The following is a 22399-nucleotide window of genomic DNA, read 5'->3' as shown; positions in this document are numbered from 1 at the left end:
CACCTGCAATCACAACTCCTTTATCAGCTGGGGGGCCCCAAATCTAAAGGGAGAAATGGGACGCTTTAGGAGCCCACCTAATTTGTGATGAGAAATGGAGAAGGGGAAATTCATATCCAATAATAAACTGCTGTAAAAGTAGGTTTGGAAGAAGAAAAGTGAAAACAGTACATATGTTTGTAAGTATGTGCTCATATTTATTGAATATTTGTCTTCTCTAAGTATAGCTTTATTAGGTGTCATAAAACCCCTGAGTTGAGCAGAGTCCAAAAGCCGTCTTTTGGCCAAGCTCACACACATCAGCTCTCTTCCTGGGTGTCCCCCGTGCATTTTATTTATCTTTCAGTTTATTCAAACTTATTTTGAGCCACATGAAGGCAGTTTTATTTGGCTAGTAGAGATTGTGTTTAATTCATTGAGTATGCATTGTCAAAGTTTAGACGTCAATGCCAGCCTGAATTCCAAATTGGGAAGTTAAATATTTGTTTTTAATTTTCTGGCTCAAAAATGTTAACTAACAGAAATGATTCTTTCTGCTCTAATGTGCTTGCATAAATGGGGTTATTAGAACTTTCCCCTAAAACAACATTTGCTTCCTGTCCAGACACGTTGTGTTTGGAAACTTCACTCCTGGAAGAAATTTTTAATATGTATAAATAAAAAGTAAATGCCTGGCCTTTGAATGTTTTGGTACAGAGGCTTATAGGAGGAGGAAAATGAGAATGCAGCATTCCTATCTCAGTAGCTTGATTACAGACAAATTTAGGTTGTGGTGGAAAAGTATTAAAGGGCTTGCATTACAGAAAATATTGACACCAAAGTCCCCTTAATGGTTGTCCTTTATAAGATATGGAATTTTGTAAAGAATTTCAAGGTTTAATTTGCCAACTCTTTTAGGTTTGTTGTATTATTGTGCACTTAATCTATTTATACATACTTCTTAAATTCCGTGATTTGAAAATGACAGAGAACACAAATGCAAATAACTTCACACATAACCCTCATACTATTGGGAATGGAACCAGGAAAGACTACACCTTCTCTGTAGAGGTGTATTTCCAGTAAATCAAATTGCAGACAGTTTAAAACATGATGCTCAAACTGAGACCTCATATGCGAGTGAAAATGAACTGACTATAGAGATGTGACTCACTATAAAGAGCCAGAATTCCAACAATCTTCAAATCTGATTTTTTTAAAAGTGAGCTTTCCGGAAACAGATCTATCTAAAGCTTGGCGAGACGAGAACCCCATAACAACCATCTAGATAACTGTGCCTTCACTAGCATGTCACTTATTTCCTCCTTACTTGATTCTCTGACTTGTTCTTGAAGGAAGCAAGGATGCCTCCTGCCTACATTTGGGTCTTGGATTGACTCACTACATCACAGGACTGCTGGGCTCCAGGATGCGAAGATCCAGCCACAACTGGCACCAGAGAACAAGAGAAGCTTCCTTTCCATCTCTGGTGGCCTGCTCACCAAAGACCCTCTGGTCCCGTCAACTTGGTGTTAACTCTTGGGTGTAAATGCCTTTGAGAAAATACCCACTGCACCTCCTACAGTGAATCCCACTGCTCACACAGGGTTTGTATGAAGTCTGCCCTTTATGGGCCATCTACACATCTCCTGTATAAGATACAGAAGGTGAGTCTACAGTCGTACATAGGAAGAGCGACCTAGGATTTAGTGGGCCAAATACAACCACGAAACGTCGCCTGGCAGCCTGATTCCACAAACGCTGTAACCTTCCTCCTCCCTCCTGTGGGGACTAGGAAAGAAAAGAGAAAGAGAGGCACAGCCTCTGGTCTCGGAGGTAGGCAGGAATGGAGGGGTTTCTAAGGGCAGGTCATCTCCTTTCAACAAACTCAGAGATTTGGCAAGTCACCAGGTAATTCTTTCAACCACAAAATCCGCAGGCAACACAATTTAAAATCTCTTGGCAGAGACTTCCGGAAGTGCTTCCTCCCTTCTTTCTCTGGAGCTCCAGCTGCAGGACCACCGTGAGGAAGCTGTCACCGCCGCTAAGGCTGGCTGCCCTCTCTGGGAGTTGCACTTCCTTCCTCCGGTCCCTAATCTGAGGACTGCTGGATTGCAGACTTGGCAAGTCCAGTGTGTACCTACTGTTACCCCACTGGAGTCCTGATGTGGCGGGAGGCCTGGTGGAAGGGACAGGGGGTATTTTCCCTTTTAATTTATTCAATGTTTTGTCTTAAAAACAGAGGGAGGGTAGGCAGCGATCTTACCTGTTATTAACTTTCCACCCCCGCTGCCATCCCCTTAGCTAGAAGAGCCACTGGTTTTTATTTTTGTTTTTATCTTAATGACCTTTCCTACTTCCCCTCCCCTACACTGTTTGAAACCCCGCTGTGGGGTTTGACTGACCCGACCTAGGGTGCTGCCCTCACGTGGACGCCGGCCCTGGGCGTGTCGCGTGTGCGCGGGGACGGCTGTGCGCGCGTCTCTGGACGAGACCAATTTCTCCATCGCGCAGCCATCCCCGCGGACGACGTTTGAAAGGCGGACTGAGGGTGGAGGAGGTCGCGGGGAAAGCGGACCGAAGGGAAAGAAAAATCAGAAAGACCATTAGGATCTGTCCGGGTGCCTGAACTCTTCCTCCTTCCCTAAAGGACCCTACCAAGCCGGTGGCGGCGAGGACGCAAACACCATTGAGGGGGCTTCCGTGGGTCCGCGGTCTCGCGCTCCGCCGTGCAGAACGAACTGTTAGTGGGCGCTACTGATCGCGCCGCGCTCGCGGCCTCGCCCCATTCACACGGCCCCGCGTAATGAATTCGTCCATTTAAATACATTACAGGAATATTGGAGATTGCGGAGGACGTGACACTTGACCCTGCAACCCGAACCCCGCAGGGGCAGCCGCCGCCTTGCAAAGTAGCAGTCCCCGAGCAGCGCCGCGCGGCGGTGGCCGGCCAAGCCCTCCGGGAGCTCTCCGGGTCCCCTTCCTCGCCCCCACCCCCGCCTTGCTCGCAGCTTGCCTCTGTCGACCCCTTCCCGCAGCCGCGTTTCAATCAAACTCACTGAGACGGCACCGAGCGGGCGCCGGGGACAAGAAACGCCTCGCCAGCGACAACGCGCGAACAAGCGGAGCCGCGGGCCCCGGCGCCTCCGCCCACACGCGCCCCGCGTGCTGAAACCCGCACCTGGCCCACGGGTAGCCGGAAAAGCCGGGTCCCGGCCCGCCCGCCGGGCCGCCCCTGCTCCCGCTCCCCCAGCTCCAAGCGCTGCGGCTCAGAAACCCACCCGCCCGGCCCAGCCCCCGCCGGAGCCCTGCACCTTGGGGAGCCGGAGGCTGGGGAGGGGACCAGAGAAGGGGAAGAAGGGGCATCGCCCTTCTTCCTACCCTGGGACAGCGCCTGGACTGGAGCTGGGTGCCGAGGAAACGACGGGAAGAGCTGACAGAGAGGCGGAGGGAGAAAAGAAAGGAAAAGAGGCAGAGACGAGGAAGGGAAGAAAGGGATCCGAAGTGACCCGCCCTCGGGCCTCCGCGCCGGTGATGCCCCGCGCCCAGGGCGAGGCCGTGCTTCGCGGGCATGAGAAGCCAGGAGGCAGCGGAGTGCGGGTCTGGGGCACCGGGGACATTGCCAAACATAATTGGGGTGCCAAACTGGGCTTCTTAATCTCGAAGCCAGGATGGGCGGGTGTGGCCGGGGGTGCGCGGGGTCAGCCAGCTTGGGGTGCTTTCCTTCGGGGCTCACACCGGCAGCGCGGACCGGCCGAGGCCGCTGGGACTGCAAGTCCGCCGCCTGCTTTTGTTCTGGGTTCTGCTGTAATTTAACATAAAACGCCTGTTAGAATCACTGCTGCCGAAACACGCGTTTCTCCTTGTTTTGCCACCAACTAACAGGATTAGGCAACAAGAGCGAGATTTCAAATTAACCATAAAAATGACAAATTGCAATTCATTTAGCTGCCCACTTACTACATTAAAAAACATAAATAAATGAATCTGCGTATTCAGAGGGTTGAACGGCCCGCAAGGAAGCGAAAGCGGTTGAACTCAGGCCTCCGGGTGGGAGTCAGGGCTGTGGCGCTGGCGAGAGCGGGCCGCCGCGGAATTCGCACCGTCTTCCAAGGGCCCGGAAAGAGGCAGCTTGGGTCATTCGAGGAACCGAGGAGGAGGGAGGAAGCTGCGAGGCCCGAGCATTTTTAGCACCTGAATTCTCCCTGCGGAGGGACTGTGTGGGGGAAGAAGGGTGGGGCGCGGAGGCAGGTCTAGAGGGGAGAGCGCTGGTTCCAGTTCGAGCTTGTCGGAAGGAAAGGCGAGAAAACTCAGCAAACGTGCTTTGCAAAATTCTGGGGAGGGGGTGATTCTCGTGTGGTGCCCCGTGTGTGAAGAATGAGACGCTGGCGAATTTTGCAGTGAGTTTGGAAGAGACCCTGGCTAAATTACTAATTCCAGTCCATCTGCAAGAGTACCCCCTTGCCTTTTTTGTTGTGTTTTGTTTTTAGGGAAGCAGCCCCTTCCCCTTGCGAAGCCGCGATGGGCTTAAAACCTCGTTTGTGCATTGAAGCTTTTCGAGATACGGATACTCAGAAACCTACAGATTTGTCTGAGCAGTGGACCTGGCGGGAGGCGTGGGTCAGGGTGGGTGAGCAGAGAGGGAATCCTCCCTCCTGGGGGAGGCGGATGTGGGCGGGAGTACTCGATCTTCCCCCTTGGCCAAGCATTACCCAGAGGGAAACACTGACCACGCTGCGCACTCACCAGTTTTATTTTTTGTTTTTAGTTCCAGAGTTTTCGTTCCTAAACCGGCTGGTCGCGGACCCACGCTTTAGTCTCCCTGCAGCGGGGACGAGGCCTCCCCAGGGGAGGTGGAGTTGCCCCCCGCAGCGCGCGGTCGGCAGGGGGCGCGCTGGGACACCCTGGCCGCGCCCACTCCGGCCCAGCCGGCCCCGCCTTAGGGCCGCGTGGGGGAAGCTCCAGCTTCTCTCCCTGGGGAGAAGCGGCCGCGCAAGTCGGCCTGAGCCCGCGGGCTTCTACCGGACAGCGTAAAACGTGGGCACCTGTCCGGGGACTTCCCTGAAATGGAGGAAAGCGCGCCCCCAGGGAGCGCGGGAGGCTACCAGGGAGCGCCGCAGCACCTGCATCCTGGGGCGGCGGGCGGGGGTGAGCCAGGGCGTAAGAACCCGAGCTGGCTCCGTAAAGTGTGTGCGCCCAGCTCCAGTTCAGGCGCTGTCCCAGGGTAGGAAGAAAGTGCGCGAGACGGCCCTGGTTGCATCCACGAAGCGCGCCCTACTTCTTTCCGGACACGCATTCTCCAGCACCCGGGGAGCTCCCCGCCGGCGCTCCTGCCCTAAACTCTCGGCCAAGCCCAAAGCCGGGCGTGCCTTCTCCCTAGAATGTTCTCGAGCAAATCCCGAACAAGTAGTCCGATTCCACCCCAGGCCTACACGGGTAATGCGGGTTAAGAAGGCAAGGGGCGAGAGGAGGTGGGAACAAGTCCAGGTGGGCGCCTAGGGGTGTCCAGGGCACCCTGCGTAACGCTGGCCGCGCGGTTCCGCTCGGCCTAACCTTTCTCGCCCTCCTGAACCTGCTCACGGCCGAGGCAGGTGGAGAGGGCGCCTTGCATCGGGAAGGCCGGGACGCAGACTTCCAGAAGCTCTGTGGGACCACGGGGCGGTTGCCTCACACGGGTGAGGTCTCGGCGCCTTTGTTGGCTCCCAGGAAACCGTGGGCAGGACGCCTGGATTGCCCCCATCTAGCTGTCCCAACCTGTGCTGCCTCTTTACCCCAGGGGAGAGGGGCACCCAGCCTGGACCCGTGCAGCGCGGTCCGCTCGCCTTGCAACAGGGAAAGAGGGGATGGAGCGGGTCACGAAGTTGTTTTCCTATTCTCCTGGCTGGATTCATCATTCTTGCACACCAAGCCAAAAAATGCAAAGGGAGTTTGTTCTTTCATTTTCCTCTGCCAATAACCGCCGATCAGACTGTTTCATTCCACTCCCCGCCCCACCTGCCCTGCGTTCCCAGGTACGGAAAGGACGAGAGGCCTTTGTTCGATCGACTGACAAGAAGGGACTGCTTGCCCAGCCAGGGTCCTCGCAGGTGGGATGGGGCTTCCTGCAGGCCTCTGCAGGTTTGCGGGCTGCTGAGCTAAACCCCTTGCAGAGGGGCCAGGGCCGTCCTTGGGTTGTGATGGTGTCCGATTGGACTCTTAAATGGTTCCTTTGAACCTTGAACCAGAATTCTTGCAGAATCCTGCAAACATACCCAGCCCTTGCAAAACAGGGCTTTAGGGTAGGAGTCGAGGGGTCTGGGGGTGGCCGTCTGAATACAGCATGAGTGGATTCCTAGCCATCACTTGGTGGGGAGCACAGTGTCTGGGGACAGGTGGAACTAGTAGCCACCCCTGTAACAATGACTAACTTTCAGGTGGGGCGCACAGTGTCTGGGGACAGGTGGAACTAGTAGCCACCCCTGTAACAATGACTAACTTTCAGGTGGGGCACACAGTGTCTGGGGACAGGTGGAACTAGTAGCCACCCCTGTAACAATGACTAACTTTCACGAGTGATTCCGGCAGGCCAAGTGTCTTTTCAGCATGTTTTGTGGGTGATTTTATTTTTATTTATTTATTATTATTATTTTTTGAGACAGAGTTTTGCTCTCGTTGCCCAGGCCGGAGTGCAATGGTGCTATCTTGGCTTACCACAACCTCCACCTTCCGGGTTCAAGCGATTCCCCTGCCTCAGCTTCCCAAGTAGCTGGGATTACAGGCATGAGCTACCATACCCAGCTAAATTTGTATTTTTAGTAGAGACGGGGTTTCTCCATGTTGGTCAGGCTGGTATTGAACTCCTGACCTCAGGTGATCCACCTGCCTCAGCCTCCCAAAGTGATGGGATTACAGGCATGAGCCATCGCGCCCGACCTGTTTTATTTATTTACTTTTTGAGATAGTCTCATTCTGTCTTCTAGGCCAGAGTGCAGTGACGCACTCATGGCTCTCTGCAGCCTCGACCTCCTGGGCTCAAGCAATCCTCCCACCTCAGCCTCCCGAGTAGGTAGGACTACAGGTGCACACCACCAATTGTTTAATTTTTGTAGAGACAGAGTCTCACTATGTTGCCCAGGCTGGTCTTGAACTCTTGACCTCAAAAGATCCTCCCTCCTCAGCCTCCCAGAGCATTGGGATGACAATCATGAGCCATCACAGCTGGCCTGTGGGTGATTTTATTTATTCCTCGAGATAGGTACATTTATTATCTCCATTTACATCTGAGGAAACTGAGGCACAAAGGGGCAAAATAACATTTCCAAGCCTGCTGACTGGTAAGTGGCCAGCATTTGACTGAGGAGGTCTGTCTCTAGAAACCCTGCCCCTGCTGCCCCTTCTGTGTCTGAGTGTGGCAGTCAGACCCCAGAGGGAATCCCACACCTGTAAAATAAAAACAATCAGCTGGCCCTGCTGACCTCGCTGGGGAGCGAAGCCCAGCCTAAAAAGGGATGAGTACCCTGAAAAGGTTCTGCTTGGGTGTGGCCGTGCAGGAAACGCTCCTGCTTTCTTGCCTGCCTGTCATCGATGACCCGAATAATCTCTGCACCAGATCTGTGTTTGTCTCTTCCCTGCTGTAGGTCGCTGTGGCCTTGCCCCTCAGAACAACAGAGCAATGGGCTGCGGCCAGGCAGCGCTCTGCGCTTTGATGAATTTTAAAGCGTTGGAGTGATCACAGGATGTCCGTCCGAGTTTCACAGTTAGCGAGCTGCTGAGCTGAGCCGAGCTGAGGGTTGGCAGGGTAGAGTCCTATGGGAGAAACACTGCTTGGATCACAGAGATTTCTGTGTATCAGGAACCAACAAATACTAAGTAAGCACTTGCTGTGGCTAAATGCTTACCACATCGGCTGAGTAGGGGGTGTGCAGATGGGGGAGTCCCACAGCCCCCAAAACCAGCTACAACATCCACGTTTTACTCAGACAAGGGGCCCTCAAGCACCACCTCATGCCGAAGTGCTGCTTCACGTGAATAGAGCTAGGATTCTAAGCCAAAAGGCCTTTCTAGAACTTTCTGCATGTACCAAAGAAGCTGCTTCCACCTCACTGCCTCCTTTCCACTGTTAGTGTTCTGCTGAGGCTTCTCTTGGGCTCTGCCTCTCCCTGCCCAACACCTGAGAAAGGCCTGATCAGTGCTGGAGGCACTGGGTGGCACCTCTCCTGCGGACGTGCTTCCCACGTAAGGCAGGTATAGGGAGACCTGCCTGTCTAGAAAGACATATGTTTACATGTCAGAGAGAAACACAACACCTGCACTCTCTAACCATTTCCTGAAAGACCCCTCTTGACACACCTTAGGGGCTTCAGGGCCACACTGCCTGGCACAGCTGGTTCCCAGTGTGGACCTGTCTCCACTGCCAGCCCCTGCCCCACCCTCTCCACCTGAGTCCTGATCCCTGGTGACCAAGAGAGGCTGTGCTGCTTCTGGCCTTCACAGTAAGCCAGATGGCCTGGGAAGCGAGACTCTCTCTGCCTCCCAGCACTCCAGGCTGCAGTTGCTGTTTCATCATCCATGGGTGTAAAACACCAAGCAAGTGACATGATACAGAATGACCTCCCTGTGCTGGCAGTGGCACCACAGAAACAGGAAGACTCAGAGCCAGAAGCTGCCTGCGCAGATTGCCATTATGGAGCCTGGGAAATCAAGTCCTAGAAAGATTATCTGTTTTTTTTTTTTTTTTTGAGATAGGAGCTTGCTCTGTCGCCCAGGCTGGAGTGCAGTGGTGTGATCACTGCTCACTGCAGCCTCTGCCTTCTGGGCTCAAGCAATCCTCTAGCTTCATCCTCCCAAGTAGCTGGGACTACAGGCATGCGCCGCCATGCTTGGCTAATTTTTTAAACTTCTTGTAGAGACAAGGTCTCACTATGTTGCCCTGGTTGGTCTTGAACTCCTTGGCTCCAGTGATCCGCCTGCCTCCAGTGATCCTCCCACCTCGGCCTCCCAAAGTGCTGGGATTACAGGCATGAGCCACTGTACCTGTCCTAGAAAGATTAAAGGATACCTCTACGTCTACCTCTACCTCTACCTCTACCTCTACCTCTACCTCTACCTCTACCTCTAACCTCTAACCTCTAACCTCTAACCTCTACCTCTACCTCTACCTCTACCTCTCCCCACGGTCTCCTTCCACGGTCTCCCTCTGATGCCGAGCCGAAGCTGGACTGTACTGCTGCGATCTCGGCTCACTGCAACCTCCCTGCCTGATTCTCCTGCCTCAGCCTGCCGAGTGCCTGTGATTGCAGGCACGCGCCGCCACGCCTGACTGGTTTTCGTTTTTTTTTGGTGGAGACGGGGTTTCGCTGTGTTGGCCGGGCTGGTCTCCAGCTCCTAACCGCGAGTGATCCGCCAGCCTCGGCCTTCCGAGGTGCTGGGATTGCAGACGGAGTCTCGTTCACTCAGTGCTCAATGGTGCCCAGGCTGGAGTGCAGCGGCGTGATCTCGGCTCACTACAACCTACACCTCCCAGCCGCCTGCCTTGGCCTCCCAAAGAGCCGAGATTGCAGCCTCTGCCCGGCCGCCACCCCGTCTGGAAAGTGAGGAGCGTCTCTGCCTGGCCGCCCATCGTCTGAGAGGTGGGGAGCACCTCTGCCTGGCAACCACCCCGTCTGAGAAGTGAGGAGCCCCTCCGTCCAGCAGCCACCCCGTCTGGGAAGTGAGGAGCGTCTCCGCCCGGCAGCCACCCCGTCCGGGGGGGAGGTGGGGGGGGTCAGCCCCCCGCCCGGCCAGCCGCCCCGTCCGGGAGGTGAGGGGCTCCTCTGCCCGGCCGCCCCTACTGGGAAGTGAGGAGCCCCTCTGCCCGGCCAGTCGCCCCGTCCAGGAGGGAGGTGGGGGGGTCAGCCCCCCGCCCGGCCAGCCACCCAGTCCGGGAGGGGGGAGGGGGGTCAGCCCCCTGCCCGGCCAGCCGCCCCGTCCGGGAGGGAGGTGGGGGGATCAGCCCCCCGCCTGGCCAGCCGCCCCGTCCGGGAGGTGAGGGGCGCCTCTACCCGGCCGCCCCTACTGGGAAGTGAGGACTCCTCTGCCCGGCCAGCCGCCCCGTCCGGGAGGGAGGTGGGGGGTCAGCCCCCCGCCCGGCCAGCCGCCCCGTCCGGGAGGGAGGTGGGGGGATCAGCCCCCCGCCTGGCCAGCCGCCCCGTCCGGGAGGTGAGGGGCGCCTCTGCCCGGCTGCCCCTACTGGGAAGTGAGGAGCCCCTCTGCCCGGCCAGCCGCCTCGTCCGGGAGGGAGGTGGGGGGTCAGCCCCCCGCCCGGCCAGCCGCCCCGTCCGGGAGGGAGGTGGGGGGATCAGCCCCCCGCCCGGCCAGCCACCCCGTCCGGGAGGTGAGGGGCGCCTCTGCCCGGCCGCCCCTACTGGGAAGTGAGGAGCCCCTCTGCCCGGCCAGCCGCCCCGTCCGGGAGGGAGGTGGGGGGTCAGCCCCCCGCCCGGCCAGCCGCCCCGTCCGGGAGGGAGGTGGGGGGATCAGCCCCCCGCCCGGCCAGCCGCCCCGTCCGGGAGGTGAGGGGCGCCTCTGCCCGGCCGCCCCTACTGGGAAGTGAGGAGCCCCTCTGCCCGGCCAGCCGCCCCGTCCGGGAGGGAGGTGGGGGGGTCAGCCCCCCGCCCGGCCAGCCGCCCCGTCCGGGAGGTGAGGGGCGCCTCTGCCCGGCCGCCCCTACTGGGAAGTGAGGAGCCCCTCTGCCCGGCCAGCCGCCCCGTCCGGGAGGGAGGTGGGGGGGTCAGCCCCCCGCCCGGCCAGCCGCCCCGTCCGGGAGGTGAGGGGCGCCTCTGCCCGGCCGCCCCTACTGGGAAGTGAGGAGCCCCTCTGCCCGGCCAGCCGCCCCGTCCGGGAGGGAGGTGGCGGGGGTCAGCCCCCCGCCCGGCCAGCCGCCCCGTCCGGGAGGTGAGGGGCGCTTCTGCCCGGCCGCCCCTACTGGGAAGTGAGGAGCCCCTCTGCCCGGCCACGACCCCGTCTGGGAGGTGTGCCCAGCGGCTCATTGGGGATGGGCCATGATGACAATGGCGGCTTTGTGGAATAGAAAGGCGGGAAGGGTGGGGAAAAAATTGAGAAATCGGATGGTTGCCGGGTCTGTGTGGATAGAAGTAGACATGGGAGACTTTTCATTTTGTTCTGTACTAAGAAAAATTCTTCTGCCTTGGGATCCTGTTGATCTATGACCTTACCCCCAACCCCATGCTCTCTGAAACATGTGCTGTGTCCACTCAGGGTTAAATGGATTAAGGGCGGTGCAAGATGTGCTTTGTTAAACAGATGCTTGAAGGCAGCATGCTCGTTAAGAGTCATCACCACTCCCTAATCTTAAGTACCCAGGGACACAAACACTGCGGAAGGCCACAGGGTCCTCTGCCTAGGAAAACCAGAGACCTTTGTTCACTTGTTTATCTGCTGACCTTCCCTCCACTATTGTCCTATGACCCTGCCAAATCCCCTTCTGCAAGAAACACCCAAGAATGATCAATAAAAAAAAAAAAAAAAAAAAAAAGAAGAGTTCCAAAAAATTTAACAGCATTTCCAGCAATGATTATTTCTGAAATAAAAAGATATGAAACATAATTTATACAAAACTAAAAAAAAAAAAAAAAAAAAAAAAAAGGATTAAAGGATCAACCATCAGGTCCCTAACCACAGACCCAAAGACGGAAGCCTTGGCAGGTAATAGTAGTAGTAATAATAATAACAATAACCCACAGCATCGCCAGGCATCATGCAGCTCTGTGAGTGCAGCCCCATAGCAAGCCCCAAAGGTAGATGCTCTTCTTCTTCTCATCTTACAGAGGCACCCAGGGGCTTGGTGACTTCCCCAAGGCCACACAGCCTGCTAACTGTGCTAAGTGGTGACCCGTTCCCTTGAATGGTAACCACGCCATCTGGCTCAAAACTACTGGCCAGCACTGCCTCTCACAGAGACTCCTGTCCCATCCAATGTGGATAAATAAGCATAGATAAGAGAGAGGCGGAAGGAAGGCCCAGCCACCCACCCAGCTGCAGAGTCCCTGCCTTTAATCCTCAGAACCTGCCTGTCCCTGAGGGCAGATGTAATGAAAGAAGGTTTGAATCTTCTAGTTTTATCTGAAAGGACACAGCTGGCCCTGAATGCCGTTCACCCAATAACCCACACGGGAGAGACTCCAGATGTTGTCTTAATGCCCGAGCCTCAGCTCCCACTTACCCTCTTTCCTGGGCTTTGATCGCATGAGTCTTAATCCCCGCTGGTGACCTGGCCTCCATCCACCTGTTTCCGTCCACTATCTGGGAAGGCAGCAATGCCAACCTCTTCGGAATTCTTTGGCCTAAACACCTGTTCCCATCAACGATTCCTGTTCCTGAAACCTCCTGCCTTCCCAAGGGATGGCACCAACACAGCTGGAGTGAGGCTGTCACTGCTCCCTCCAGCAAATGTCCCCAAATCATCAAAAAAAAGGAAAGCTTAGTTAATATCTTGCAATTAAAAGTCAGGAGATGTGTCTGCTTAATAACAAATTAGATGATTTCTTCCAAAGTGGACAAAATATGATTAAAAGTTGAGATTCTTATTACACATCGAGAAAACTTAGCTCCCTACAAAAACAAAGAGTTTTGCTGTAGTTCATTCCAAGGCTTTGCAATGCAAACAACCATGAATGAAGACTTAGGAGCCTGCCTGGATGGTGGCTCTGAGCATGGGCTAAGCCCCCAGCAGGCTGAATTAGAGCTTACTAGCTGTGTGGCTTTGTCCTCCAACCTCTCTGAGTCTTATTCTCTTCCCTCCAAAGTGGGGCAGGAATCATAACCACAGATGCTGGGATGCTGCACGAGAGAAACTCTTGGGGATCAATTCCTGTCACTAACGCTAGCTGCTCTCAGCCACTCTTCTCTTTAGACCTCAGCAAGACCAGCGGGGCTCAGTCATGCCCGTCTGTACCCACAGCTGTCAATCCCAGGTCGAGGGCTTAGGTCAGGGAGAAGATGAAACGAGCCCAAGGAGGGAGGAATAGAAATAGGGCCACGGGGCAGAGAAGCAGAAGGTGCTGGGGTTGGGAGGAACTGGTGCTGTGGTCCCCCCTTCAGCTCTTTCTTGGACAGACACTCAAGAGTGTCCCATGGGGATACCCACGGTGTGTCTGCTCCTGCACAGCCCCTCTGGATGCCGATAGAGTCGGTTTGACGTTTGACCTGCCTCACGGGCCTTGCTTCACTCTTCCTGCGCATCTGGCCTGTCCTCCGTGAGCTCCGCAGCCAGGGTGCATGGTCTTTGAATTTCTGTGGAGTGTGCCCTTCCCATCCACGTTTGTATCTTGACAGTGTGGAGGAAAGAGTGAGGCTTCCTTCCCCTGGCAGCTGAGCCCTGAGGCTCCTGTACTGGCCTGTCTTGAAAACTGCCCCCGAGTTGCTTGTATAACAAATAAGGTTCCAGATTTCAAAGCTTCATAGACCACTGTGGGGGATGGGAACAGCCTTGAGAAATCACCCGCTTCAAACCGATTCTCTGTTCTCTGAAGCCACATAAACGGATGCAGCATCAATGACTTTATCTTTTTTTAACTGCACCCTCTGCAGGCAGAGAAAGGGGCAGGGTTGAATTCCGCTGCATGCTGTCCTCTGCCGACCTTTTCTGTCCGTGCAGGTGAAAGGTGCAAAGTCTCCGTGGGTGAGGCAGGCAAGGTGCAGAGGGCTTCGGTGTGGGCGGGGGTGTTAGTCCCTAAGCTCATGGGCCCCCAGATAACTGAGAGCTGACTCAGTGCTCCCTGGTTTGGACTTAATGTAGTCTAAAGAGATGAAAACTCCTGGTAAGTCTTTCCCTGGCCCTCCCGCCTCTGTGGTCACCTCACCCAGCCACCACTGACCTTCTCTGGAGGAAAATAAACTCCAAACTCTTGACATTCAGTTCACCTAGAGTTGCAAAATGAAAGTTTAAACGGGAAGAAGCGTTCACTGTGAAGGGAAGGCACCTGCAAGCCCTGGCGTCTGGGCAGAGGGGAGACTTAGAAGTTTGGGAGCCGGGTTCCCTGTCACTTTTGCAGGTGGCAAGTGAATTTTCACTCAGAGAAAATCAAATCACTTTAGAAGGTGCCTAATGTGGGAAGAAGATGGGGGTTAGATCACCGAGGTCAGGTCTGTTGTGTGACACCTGAAACGGTTTTCCTGAATTCGGAGTGCCCAGGCCGGGTCTTTTTGTACTTCATTTTGTTTTGTTTTTTGTTTTTGAGACAGGGTGTCATTTGGTCACCCAGCCGGGAGTGCAGCGGCGCAATCACTGCCCACTGTAGCCTCCATCTCCCATGCTCAAGGATCCTCCCGCCTCAGTCTCCCAAGTAGCTGGGACCACAGGCATGGGCCACCACACCCAGCTAATTTGTTTTTTTGGTTTTTTGTTTTTTTGTAGAGATGGGGGTCTCGCCATGTTGTCCAGGCTGGTGTTGAACTCCTGAGTTCAAGTGATCCTCCTGCTTTGGCTCCCCAAAGTGCTGGGATTACAGGTATGAGCCACGGTATCTGGTCCAGTCTGGTTTTTAAATGGAGATGACAGTGAGCCCAGGGGAGTGTTGGTAAGGCCTGAACACCGAGCTGCCGCCTTCCCTGCAGGCCTGGTTTTGTAAATATCAGTCTGGTAGCGGATCCCTTTCCCCCAGGGAGCTTCACAAATCATACATTAACCAGAGCTCCTGAAACAGAAGGCCAGACGGGACATATTACAGCAGGAACTGGCTCACCACCATCCAGGGTCCCGCATCCCAGGAGGCTGTTTAAATCAACACACAGACTATGCAGGTAAAGTATCCATGCAGGTCCCAAGGTGGCCTCACTCTCTGTGGACCCTGGGGCTCTGTGGCCCGTGGGCACCCCTCACAGCTGGTCTCTTTCTGGAGGATTCTCCCTGCTGAATGTGTGCTTCCTTAGGGCAGGGCCACCTCTCAGCCAAGTCTGGGGAGTGATGGGGTGAGGCGTGGGTGGGAGAAGCCTCTGGGTTGGCCAGCCCTCAGCAGGCATCTGATTTCATGATCATCTGGGCTCTCCATGCATGAGCTGTCTCGGTGGTTGACTTGGGGTGGTTCAGATGAACTCCAGAGTGAGCTGGCATCTCTGATCCTCCCTTAGAGCACCTCCAGTCTTACCCCGAGAATTCTTGGTACCTTCCGGGTGCATTCAGCTTCCAGAGCTTGTGGAAGGGCTGCAGGAGGCTGTGCTCTGTGGATTTAATTAATGAATCTGTTCCAAGGCTCTTGAAAAAAACATGTGATCAGGGACTAACTGGGGGAGAGTCGGGAAGGAGAAAGATGGGATAGAAATGGAGTCTACACGGTCTCCCTCCCGCATGAAGCACGCATTGGTCCCAGAGAGGCCAAGGCCTCTTTCCCTCCTCCTGCAGCTCCTTGGGGCTGAGGCAGGTGGCTCGGGCAGTTCCAAATTATTCTGTCCCATCTCGCAGTGCAGGGAGTGGATGCCAGGCAGCATCACTGCCTAGGGGCAGGCAGGGTGTCTGGAGGACAGCTGTAATTCAGGGAGGCCCCAAACATTTGGCATTTCCGAGGATGCTGGAGAGCCAAGGATGCTGGAGAGGGCTATGCCTGAGCTTGGCTTTTCCAATCTGGTTTAGTGAATTTCCAAGCTGGTTTAGTGAATTCCCCAGTGGTGCTTACAAGCCCCTGGGCCTGCAGACTGAGAGCATCCCGTGAGGTGGGGCCCCTGCTGTGTGCAGCCCAGCGCCCGTCCTCCCTCACTGCTCTCTCCATCCTCTAGCCCTTTAAGTGGTGGCATCCCGAGCGTGTTTTACATTTTGTGCCCTTAGCCCTTTCCCCCACTCCTTCCTCCGTGGGCTGTCTCTGTCGGCTGGAGCAGTCCAGTGGCTGGGAGTGAGGCCTCTGGAGCCAGAACGTCTTGGGGTTGAGTCTCTGTTGCACCACTTTGGTGGGACTGTGTGTGAATTGACCTTCTGGGGCCTGGGTGCCCTCATCACCACCCTGGGTTGTGAGGATCCAATAGAGTGATGTTGTAGGCCCGTCCCACGGGGCCTGGCCAGCCGCTATCCATCCCCAGGTGCTTCCTGATGGTGCCGTGGATGACAGCACTCTAGTGAACGTACTGTCAAATGCATCGTCCATGAGCAAGCGTGCAGCCAGCATTCCTGACTTACACGGGGGATGCTGGCCCGCCCCACGCCCTGTCCATCCACATTCCACCAGCTGGAACCTCGGTGCCTGTGGGGCCTCCCTGACACCACCCAGGTACGGGGGGAGCACATGGCTTTAGATGAATCTGGATTTCCTTCCTGGCTTCAGCACTTAGCCGTGTGACACTGAGGTGATTAACTCCCCCGAGACTCCATTTCCTCCATAAACGTCCCCAGTTCCTGGCCTTGAGAAAGCACGTGGGTGATGGTGTTTCCTTCTCCTTTCCTTTCTTGCTCCGGTGGCAGCTGTCTGCAATACTCTGGGGACCTTGTGGCAGTTTTTCAGTGATTGTAAACTTCTTATTTGGGTTGATTTTGACTCTTACAGGTGTCTTTCCCCCAGCGAACTTCCCAGCTCCTCGGTGGGAGGGTCTAACCTGCCCTCTCCCCAGTGCGATATTTCATGTCACCTTCTGGGAACTGCCTGGCTGTGGCTCGACGCACGGTGATGGGGACCTCACCACTGTCCTGCCCATGTGTCAGAGGTGAACACCCCTGCAGCCCCTCCTTTCACGGAAAGTCCATTCCTTATCTGCCCATTTCTGCTGTCAGCAAATACTCACAGGGCAGGACAGGATTGCTGTCCTAGAGACTAGAAACTATCAGAGGATAATCATAGGATGGAGAGGCAAGCACTAACGGAACAAAGAACTGGGGCTTGGGGGTGCCCAAGAGGCGCAGATGGCCCAGAAGTGGGTCAGGTGGGATAGGCGTCCTCCCGCAGCCGAGTCAGCTCTGGCCGGGGAGTCAGGAAGGAGAGGAGGTTTCATTCCCGTTCTGTTGTCATTGGCTGTGTGACCTTGGCAAGCCAGTAGCTTCTTCAGTCACATTCCCAGGGTGAAGGTCATGGCCTCTTGCCTCCCTGGGAGAAGGCAGTCTGAGCCTTGGGTCTGGAGGGAGATAGAGAAAGGACCGAGTAACTCCAGCCTTTCATTTTGCAGATGAGGCCCCGGGAAGTGACGTCCGTGGTCAGAGCGGGAGGGGTGTGGGAATCGCGAGCTTTCTGTGTTTGGCCATGGCTGTTGGCTCCCACCTGCTGTGATTTAAGATGCCAGGACAGGGGTTCTGACTGTGGCTTTTTTGCACCTGGTCCACTGCTGGGCTTCTAGGTTGTCTCCTCTCACAGCGAGCCGGAGAGGACCACCGGCCCTGGGGAGACAGGAGCACTGGCCCTGGGGAGACAGACAGGCTCTTGAGCAGAACTTGCTGGTACTGGGTGAATAGTGTGCCCCAAATTAAGGTCCATCCCCAAACCTCAGAATGTGACCTTATATAGAAATAGGGTCTCTGCAGATGTCATTGGTGAGGTTGGGGTGAGGTCACCCTGGAGTAGGGTGAGCCCTCAGTACAATGGCTGGTGTCCTTGTAGGAGGAGCAGAGGCACAGAGAGACACCCAGAGAAGATAGCCATGCAACAGCAGAGGGGAGGCTGGAGCCAAGGACCCCCGGGATTGCCGGCCACACCAGAACTGGGCCAGGTGCAGGGCGATCCTCCCTGCAGACTTCAGAGGGGGTGAGGCCCTGACACCCTCATCTAGGACTTCCAGCCTCTAGAGCTGAGAGGGAAGGAATGTCCACTGTTAAAGGTGCCCAGTCTGTGGGACGTCATTCTGGTGGCCACAGGAGACTCATACAGCGCTTGGAGGAGGGGGTCAGTGGACAGCCAGAAGGGCAGCAAGGCCAGCAGCTCCAGAGCTGCCACCTCCGCTGTGGCATCACTTTGCTTATTTTGGTGCCCGTGTGTCCTCACCTGTCTGCCCTGAGGGGGGGGAAGTGCAAAGCCCAGGGATGGGGGGAAGTGAGTGAGGATGCTGCAGCCTGCCCTGCTTTTCCTTCCAGCCACTCCCCAGCCCCAGCCCCCACCTAAAAATACCTCCCCGGGCCTGCCTTGGTGTTTTGAGAATGTCGTGCCCATGTGGCACGGTCAAGTCATGTGGCCACAGGAGGGGATGAGGAGGAAGTTTAGTGCACTCTGGGCCATGGTGGGGGGTGCCAGGGCGGTCAGGAGGCAGCAGACAAGAGCAAGGGGAGTGCCTGGGCAGGAGTGGGGCTTCCGTGAAAAAGGAAGGGCAGGGAGGTGTATGCTTTAGGACTGGCCAGTTGGAATCATCTCAGCAGGTTTGGCTGTGGGTGGGGGTGGTCCCTAGTCACCCAGGACCTGGCGCTGTGATGGTCAGGGCAGGGGAATATCGCCCGGGGAGTTTAGGGCCAGAGAGAGGAGGTATGCTGGCTAGTTTGCGTATGAAAGGCATGCTCTGAGCCCTCGCTGTATCAGAATTGGCCAGCCCCTGGAGGGGCAGGCTCTCCCCAGCCAGAAAGCTTTTCTAAGATGTCAAAACATAATACACAGAAAATTTAGAAAATATATACAATACACACAGGTATTACTCTCACGGAGACCTGCAGTGGGCGGGGCTGCAGAGCCAGAGCTCGGGGTCACCTGTGCCCCCTGAGTCCCCGGCATCTCAGTGGTGACTTTGGCCAGCACAACGTGGGCTGTGGAGCTGCAGAGCTCTGCCTCTCCGTGGGGCGGGCGTGCAGGCTGGTTCCGAGGGCAGCGCAGGGGCTGGGGCAGGAGCCCGGCCTGTGATGATGGGGGGCTTCAGTTTTGTCTGCAGAGCTCTGCTTGCAGGTGCCCGCAGTGCAGAGACCACAGGGGTCCCCGCGCCGCCGGATGCCCGAGGATGTGAGACTGTGCACCATCTGCCCGCTGCCCGCTGCCACGTCCGTGTGCTCGGGGCAGGGAAGAGCTCAAGCCAGTGACCTTGAAAGAGGGAACACAGCTGAGAAACGTGTCAGATGCCCTTCCGGGCTGGCGGCGCTGGCTGCACATCTGTCTGGAGTGCGTGGATGCCAGAAGTCACTGTCCATGGGGTGACAGCGCAGCCTGGAGCTGATGAGAGGCTGGGTGCGCGCTGCACGTCTCCAGCAGGTCCCCACAGCAGGCTCTGCTGCAGGCATCTGGGCGGAACTGAGACTGGACAGACCGAGGCTGCCAGCAGAGGGAGGGGCAGGAGGCCTGTCCCAGGGAGGCACAGAGGGGGTGCGGCAGGGCCTCCCCCAGCCTCTCCCTCGCCTGGCACCCCCACCTTCCCTCCTTTCCTCGTGATCGCCTTCCCTTCCCTTTCCTTTCTTCTTCCCTTCAGAAGGAGGAGCTGTGGGCAGAGGGACTTTGGAAAGCATGGCGTTACTTACCTTTCACACCTCTCAGGGCTTACGCCATCCTCCTGCGAATGATGAAAGACATCATCCCTGCCTCCAGCTGGGCCTCGGAAGAGAGCACTGATTTACAGAACGGGAGCTTTCCCCTTAGCGTGGCCCCCAGGTCAGAGTTTCCCAGACGGAGGGCCTTGGAAGATTGGCTTCTCTCGGTGTTTCTGGCAGACCAGGCAGAAAGTGAGGGGCAGCTCGTGTTGGAAAGAGTTCGGGACACGCCGCCACCCGTGACCTCTCCTAGAGGTGACGGCATATGTGTGAGCAGAGGGAAGGCTCCGAGCAGCCCCGGAGGAAGTACACATGCGTGGCTTTATCTAACCAGACATTTCCCTTGGAGTCCTTTCCCCCACGGAGGGTGGACTGACACCTCAGAACCCTGTGTTCTGGAGACCCTGGGGGGATCCTCCCTGGCAGCCCTGCGGGGAAACAGTCTCTGGGTGCAGAGCAGCGGTGCCTGTGCTTTTTGTGTTTATGAGTCACTCATCGAGCAGTCTTTGCCCAATGAAAGGTTTGAGGAGCTGTTACTTGGGCCAAGTCCTGGGGAAGTGATGAAATAGAGACGGTTTGTCTTCAGTGCTGGCAACCTCCCCTTTTTAGTCACTTCTTTCCTGTCTCCAGAGAGGGTTTCCTCTCTGGTCATCCACTTGCTCAGGCATCAGTGTTCTGATTCTGCCCAAACTTTCCTCTCTTTTAAATTATCCTTCATGGCTAGGATGGGAGTACTTGTTTATACTAATGTGTAAATGACTAACCAGCTAATATTGCTTATATTCTGTGTGGGCAGGAGGCTTTGCATAGGCCTCTCACATGTCCCGAGGTTTGCCTTTAGGCAGAGGACCGTCTCCTCTGACAGCGTTAACTTAATGCACCTGCTACGCTTAATGAATACTTAGGCTTGATGAATACGCAGATGCGCCAGATCAGTTCTGGGTAAAGGACAAACACCGTGAGCAGGACAGGTGGGGTCTGGAGGGGGAGGCAGATGCACCAAGGCAAGGGGAAATACCTAAAGACTGTTAGTGTCAGCACAGCGTCGCTTCAGGCCGAGTAAGCAATGCCCATCCAGAAAGTGGCAGATGGTGGCGTGTGGAGCAAGACATGGAGAGAGAAGATGAAAGATGCTCAGATCGGGGCTCGGCAAACTTTCTCTACAAAGGCCAGATGACAAATAAAGGAACGGTGGCTGTGTGGGCCACCCAGGGCCTGCCTGAATCATTGTCTTTGTTTTCTGACAACCCTTCAGGGATGTAGGCACCACAGTCGGCTTGCCTGGGGCCGCCTTTGGCCCAGCTCCCTGGCTAGACGATGGAATTTTGCCCACTGGAGGGCACTGTTTTTAGAGAAAGTTCCTGGTTTCCTTCAAAGGAATTAAAACACAAATGTAAAACGTATTGGTGGACGTCCAGGCAGGAGAAGGAGGCAAGTTCCTGTTGGCAGCTGTGGTGGTGAGTGTCACCTTGTCATGCTTATAAGCTAATATTGCTTATATTCTGTGTGGGCAGGAGGCTTTGCATAGACATCTCACATGTCCTGAGGTCTGTCTTTAGGCAGAGGACTGTCTCCTCTGACAGCGTTAACTCAATGTACCTGCTACGCTATTGATAGTATAAATAGTAGATACACTATTTATAGTGTTTAACACCTATAACCAATTGCCTTTCAGTAAACAGATGGCCCTCCACAGCGTGGGTGGGCCTCACCCAATCAGCTGAAGGTCTAAAGGCAAAGACTGAGGTCTCCCTAGGGAGGAGGAATTCTGTCTCAAGCTGATAATGTAGGAACCCAGCCAGAGTTCCCCACTGGCTACCCAGCAGAACGCGGGCTCAGGACCTCAGCATCAACTCTTACCTGAATCTCAGCCGGCAAGACTGTTCAACAGATTTCAGTCCCGCCAGTCCCCACAATCAGTGAGTGAATTTTTGTTAAAATAAATATCTCTCTTCCTCTTGACAAAGATACAGACATATAGATGTGTGCACGTTTGTGTGCACACACACACACACACACACACACACCCTATTAGCTTTGCTTCCCTGCAGAACCCTGCCTAACAGGCAGCTTAGACAACAGCTGTTAGTCCAAATGATGTATTGTAAATCATATGGGGGTGTTGAACCTGCACACCGCAGGCAGGAGAGTCCGGGGCTGCTGGGCAAAGCAGTGTGGCAGGGGCTGGAGCCAGGACCAGCCTTGCCCCTCACGGCCACGGAAGGTTGTGCAGCCTGGCTGAGGGGCACTGCCTCCTGCAATTCAGGGACCAGGTGCCTCAGCCTGTCAGGAGGAGGGGCAAGGGGAATGCTACAAGAAACGCTCCTTTCCCCTCCGCCGTCCTGGTGGTCTAGAAGGTGGATCCCTGACCCCAAATACTAGGCCCATCATATGTTGTTCAAAGGCTTTGAACCCAGATTCAAGTTCAGCTATCCCTGAGCAGGTCCCGTCCTGTCCTTTGAAGTCAGCTTTTCTTTTCTCAAGTATGTTCTACTGTAGAACCGAGAAAAGGGTGCAGGCCCAGGGTTTGTGTTCAGTGTGGCAGAGACGGCAGGTGTCCCTTTAGTCAGGGAACTACATGTTAGGGGCACACATTGCCATCTCCTCTGCAGTTAGGTGAGGTCTAAGGGCTACACTTTGGAGAGTGGATGGTAAGTGGATGGAATCTGCTCTTGTTCCACTGTCCTGTGGACTGGCGGTGGCCGTCTCCACCGGGGGCAGCCTTGGGGACAGACCCCCAGTCACGCAACCTCGACTTTTACTTGAGAGACAAGTCCCAGCCTTTCTGCCCTCTGGGGGGCTCGCCTGGGGGTGCCCTGCCTGGCTCGCCAGCCCCTCCCATCTTCTGCATCTGCTGGCACCTCGGTGGGGATTCTGTGTTGGCTGAATAGTGAAATGGGACCTGAAGCAGGGCACACTTGCTGGGTACCCTTGGGAAGGCGGGATCGATGGGGCAGGGCCAGGGCTCAGGCATGTGATGTCACGCCTCCCAGGTGCCCCCACTATTCCTTTTGTCCATCATCATCATCATCATCTTCGTCT

At 55.6% G+C, this 22399-nt stretch overlaps 2 long non-coding RNA genes across 2 annotated transcripts, besides 3 other annotated features; one reads left to right on the top strand and one right to left on the bottom strand.

Moving 5' to 3' along the window:
* Positions 3631-4142: an enhancer, noted in NCBI's record as "H3K27ac-H3K4me1 hESC enhancer chr7:155166119-155166630 (GRCh37/hg19 assembly coordinates)". NCBI's record gives its function as "activates a minimal SCP1, AML or CMV promoter by ChIP-STARR-seq in naive H9 embryonic stem cells {active_cell/tissue: H9 hESC(naive)}" and the evidence as "EXISTENCE:reporter gene assay evidence [ECO:0000049][PMID:30033119]".
* Positions 4784-4973: a silencer, noted in NCBI's record as "silent region_18846". NCBI's record gives its function as "represses an Ori minimal core promoter by ATAC-STARR-seq in GM12878 lymphoblastoid cells {active_cell/tissue: GM12878}" and the evidence as "EXISTENCE:reporter gene assay evidence [ECO:0000049][PMID:35858748]".
* Positions 5167-5678: an enhancer, noted in NCBI's record as "H3K27ac-H3K4me1 hESC enhancer chr7:155164583-155165094 (GRCh37/hg19 assembly coordinates)". NCBI's record gives its function as "activates a minimal SCP1, AML or CMV promoter by ChIP-STARR-seq in primed H9 embryonic stem cells {active_cell/tissue: H9 hESC(primed)}" and the evidence as "EXISTENCE:reporter gene assay evidence [ECO:0000049][PMID:30033119]".
* Positions 6535-13385, bottom strand: LOC105375593 (uncharacterized). The gene is made up of 3 exons (XR_928236.4): positions 13100-13385; positions 12176-12386; positions 6535-7764 (listed from the first exon to the last, which is right to left on the bottom strand). It is a non-coding gene; the product is annotated as an uncharacterized LOC105375593 (long non-coding RNA).
* BLACE (B cell acute lymphoblastic leukemia expressed) lies at positions 9633-20578 on the top strand. The gene is made up of 6 exons (NR_103545.1): positions 9633-9757; positions 14369-14462; positions 14616-14754; positions 16482-16638; positions 17523-17666; positions 18786-20578. It is a non-coding gene; the product is annotated as a B cell acute lymphoblastic leukemia expressed (long non-coding RNA).
* The last annotated feature ends 1821 nt before the right edge of the window (positions 20579-22399 follow it).

The sequence above is a fragment of the Homo sapiens genome, chromosome 7 (assembly GCF_000001405.40).
Source record: "Homo sapiens chromosome 7, GRCh38.p14 Primary Assembly".
Lineage (NCBI taxonomy): Eukaryota > Metazoa > Chordata > Mammalia > Primates > Hominidae > Homo > Homo sapiens.
Note: the sequence above shows the minus strand (reverse complement) of the source record. Positions and strands in the feature narration are given on the sequence as shown.